A 3150-nucleotide genomic window follows, 5' to 3' on the forward strand; every position below is an offset into this window, starting at 1 on the left:
GACCTCCCTAGCCATCCTTCCTGTACAGCCTGCAGAACCCATGAGCCAATTAAACCTCTTTTCTTTATAAATTACCCAGTCTCAGGTAGTTCTTTATAACAATGCAAGAATGGACTAATACAGAAAATTGGTACCAGGAGTGAGGCACTGCTGTAAATATACCTGAAAATGTGGAAGCAGCTTTGGAACTGGGTAATGGGCAGAGGTTGGAACAGTTTGGAGGGCTCAGAAGAAGACAGGAAGGTGAGGGCAAGTTTGGAACTTCCTAGAGACTTGTTAAATGGCTGTGACCAAAATGCTGATAGTGATATCGACAGTGACGTCCAGGCTGAGGAGGTCTCAGATGGAAATGAGGAACTTATTGGGAACTGGAGTAAAGGTAACTCTTGATATGCTTTAGCAAAGAGATGGCAGCATTGTGCCCCTGCTCTAGGGATCTGTGGAACTTTGAACTTGAGAGTGATGATTTAGAAAAAATGGCAGATGAAATTTCTAAGTGCAGCTTGCTCTTCAGTGAACACCAATAAATAAGTATTCAGACAGTTACAGCTGAACAGGGCGGGGAGCAGCTCCTCCAAGGGAGTGCTGCTTTAAGATCTGTCTGCCAGGTATTTACTGAGAAGGCTTGTTAAACTACAGTTTAGACAAATAAGAAACATCCACCAGGTGGCTATTTGGGGTCGGGTCATGAGGTGCATATGGCCTCTGTTTATTACGTCTGAAAGCACTCAAACCACATTCTTAGGAGGCTGTGTTCAGCACTCCTTATCACACATCCTGTTCCTTGTCTTGTTTTCAGGGTCAAGGAGTTACAGTCTCATGCACAAACAACATACACACAGTGCCTCAGTATTTTTCCATGCTTCGATCTCAAATGCCTTGTACATAAGCTTGACTGTATTGTTGTACACCCCCCCATATCGCCCCCTTTTTTGTTTATTAATATATACTTTAAGAGTTCGATGAGCTTGTTCAACAATGGCCTGACCAGTTGAGTTATAAGGAATACCAGTTTTATGTTGTATGTGCCAATGTTTCAATGCATATGCAAATCGAGCGCTAAGATAGCGAGGACCATTATCAGTTTTTATAGTTTTTGGAAGGCCTAAGGTCATAATAGATTTTAAAAGATGAGCAATTGCTCTTTAGTTTTTTGTCCAGTCCAGGGAGTAGCATGTTTCAGGCCCGTATAAGTGTCCACAGTAACGTGGAGAAATTTAAAGCATTCAAAGGTAGATGCTGAGTAATATCAGTGTACCAGATAGCATTAGGTACCAGACCTCATGGGTTGGCACCAAGTTCCAATGAAAAAGGGGAGAGAGAATGCCCTTGGCAATCAGGACAAGTTTTAATAATCATGCGAGCTTGAGCAAGCGTTAAATGAAACTGTTGTGTAAGACTGCGGGCGTTCTGATGAAAAAAAGGAATGATCAGCTTGAGCTCACAAAAAAGCAAGAGAGTCTGAAAACCACATCTGTGGTTGTACCAGAGCATCAACTCAAACATTCCCTTCTGACAGGGACCAGGTAGCCCAGAATGAGAGCGAATATGTGTGATATAAAGGGGGTGATGACGGGCACAGAGGAGCTCCTGCACTGTGAGAAGTAGGGTTAGTAGGGGTTCATTAGTAGTGCCTTTCAGATGTGCGAGATCTAAATGAGTAATACTACACACCGCATAAGAGGAATCACTAATTATATTTATGTCTTGGTGAGGAAAAGTTTGTAAGGCCAGCATTAGGGCACCTAACTTTGCCTGTTGCATAGTTTTGAAATGTTCCTGGATTTTGTGCTGCCAGTTTTGCATGGCATCTTGCACACTATACCTGCCTTTTTTGTTTTTCCTGAATCATCTGTAAAGACAGTAGTGGCGTGAGGCAAGGGCTCAGAAACAACAATAGATACGAATTTTTAACAGGTACAGTTTGTAAAAAGTTCAGGAGCTTAGAGGCTGGTAAATGGAAACTGATATTACCAACAAAGTCGGCCATTGCAACTTGCCAATCAAGATCACAAGCTAACAGAGTATGAAATTGTTCCTTGCTTAAAGGTAAGAAAAGAGTAGCAGGGTCATATCCTGACAATTGGATGGCATCCCTTTATGAGAAGAGAAGCTATTAAATCTGTGGTCTTTTGTATGGGTTTAGAGGGGTTATGAGGCAGGTAAAGCCACTCCAAAGGAGACACATCTGTTCCAACTTGCCCAAGCATCCTTGTAGGGCTATGAGAGGTATTAAAAAGATCTAGAGGTCTGTCAGGATCTAAACGCGAGATGCACCATTGGGCCAAGGCTTGCTCCACAGTGTTAAGGTCTGCCTGTGCTAGTGGAGAGAGGTCTCGCAGCAAATTTAAAGCAGGGTGACCTTTCAGGGTGACAAAAGATTAGTCAAGGAATTTGCAGGAATGCCTAAATAGGGACATATCCAATTAATCTGTCCGAAGACTTGCTGTAATGTATTAAGGGTTAAGTGCTGTGGAAGAATTGTTTTTGTAAGTTGTGGCCTAGGGGTAGTAGATAAAATAAGACTTCCTAGATAGAGCCACAGAGATGTCAGCTGGACTTTTTTGTGTGTGTAATAACAAGACCATACTATGACATACGCTATATTACCATTGTGTAAAGTTGATGCAGTAATGACTGGTATTGAGCAGCTATCAAAATATCATCCACATAGTGGAAGATTTTTGCCTGGGGGAAGGATGGACGCACAGAAAGTAAGGCTTCAAGTACGTAAAGCTGACATGTAGTGGGCTATTTATCATCTCTTGGGGTAGAACTCTCCATTGATAACGTTGAACTGGTTGCTGATTGTTATAAGTGGGAATGGTAAAAGTAAATTTTTCTCGATCCTCGGGATGCAAGGGTATGGTAAAAAAACAATTTCTTAGATTAATGATAATAAGAAGCCAGTCTTTGGGGATCATACCCGGAGAAGGCAATCTTGGTTGCAAAGGTCCCATAGGAAGCATCACAGCATTAATAGCACAGAGGTCATGCAATAACCCCCATTTTCCTGACCTCTTTGGAATAGTAAAAATAGGAGTGTTCCAGGGACTAGCAGGAGGCTCAATGTGGCCAGCATGTTGTTCTTGTACTAGACGTTGAATATGTTCCAATTTTTCCTTCTTAATGGGCCACTGCTCCACCCAT

This window comes from Homo sapiens, chromosome 12, assembly GCF_000001405.40.
Source record: "Homo sapiens chromosome 12, GRCh38.p14 Primary Assembly".
Lineage (NCBI taxonomy): Eukaryota > Metazoa > Chordata > Mammalia > Primates > Hominidae > Homo > Homo sapiens.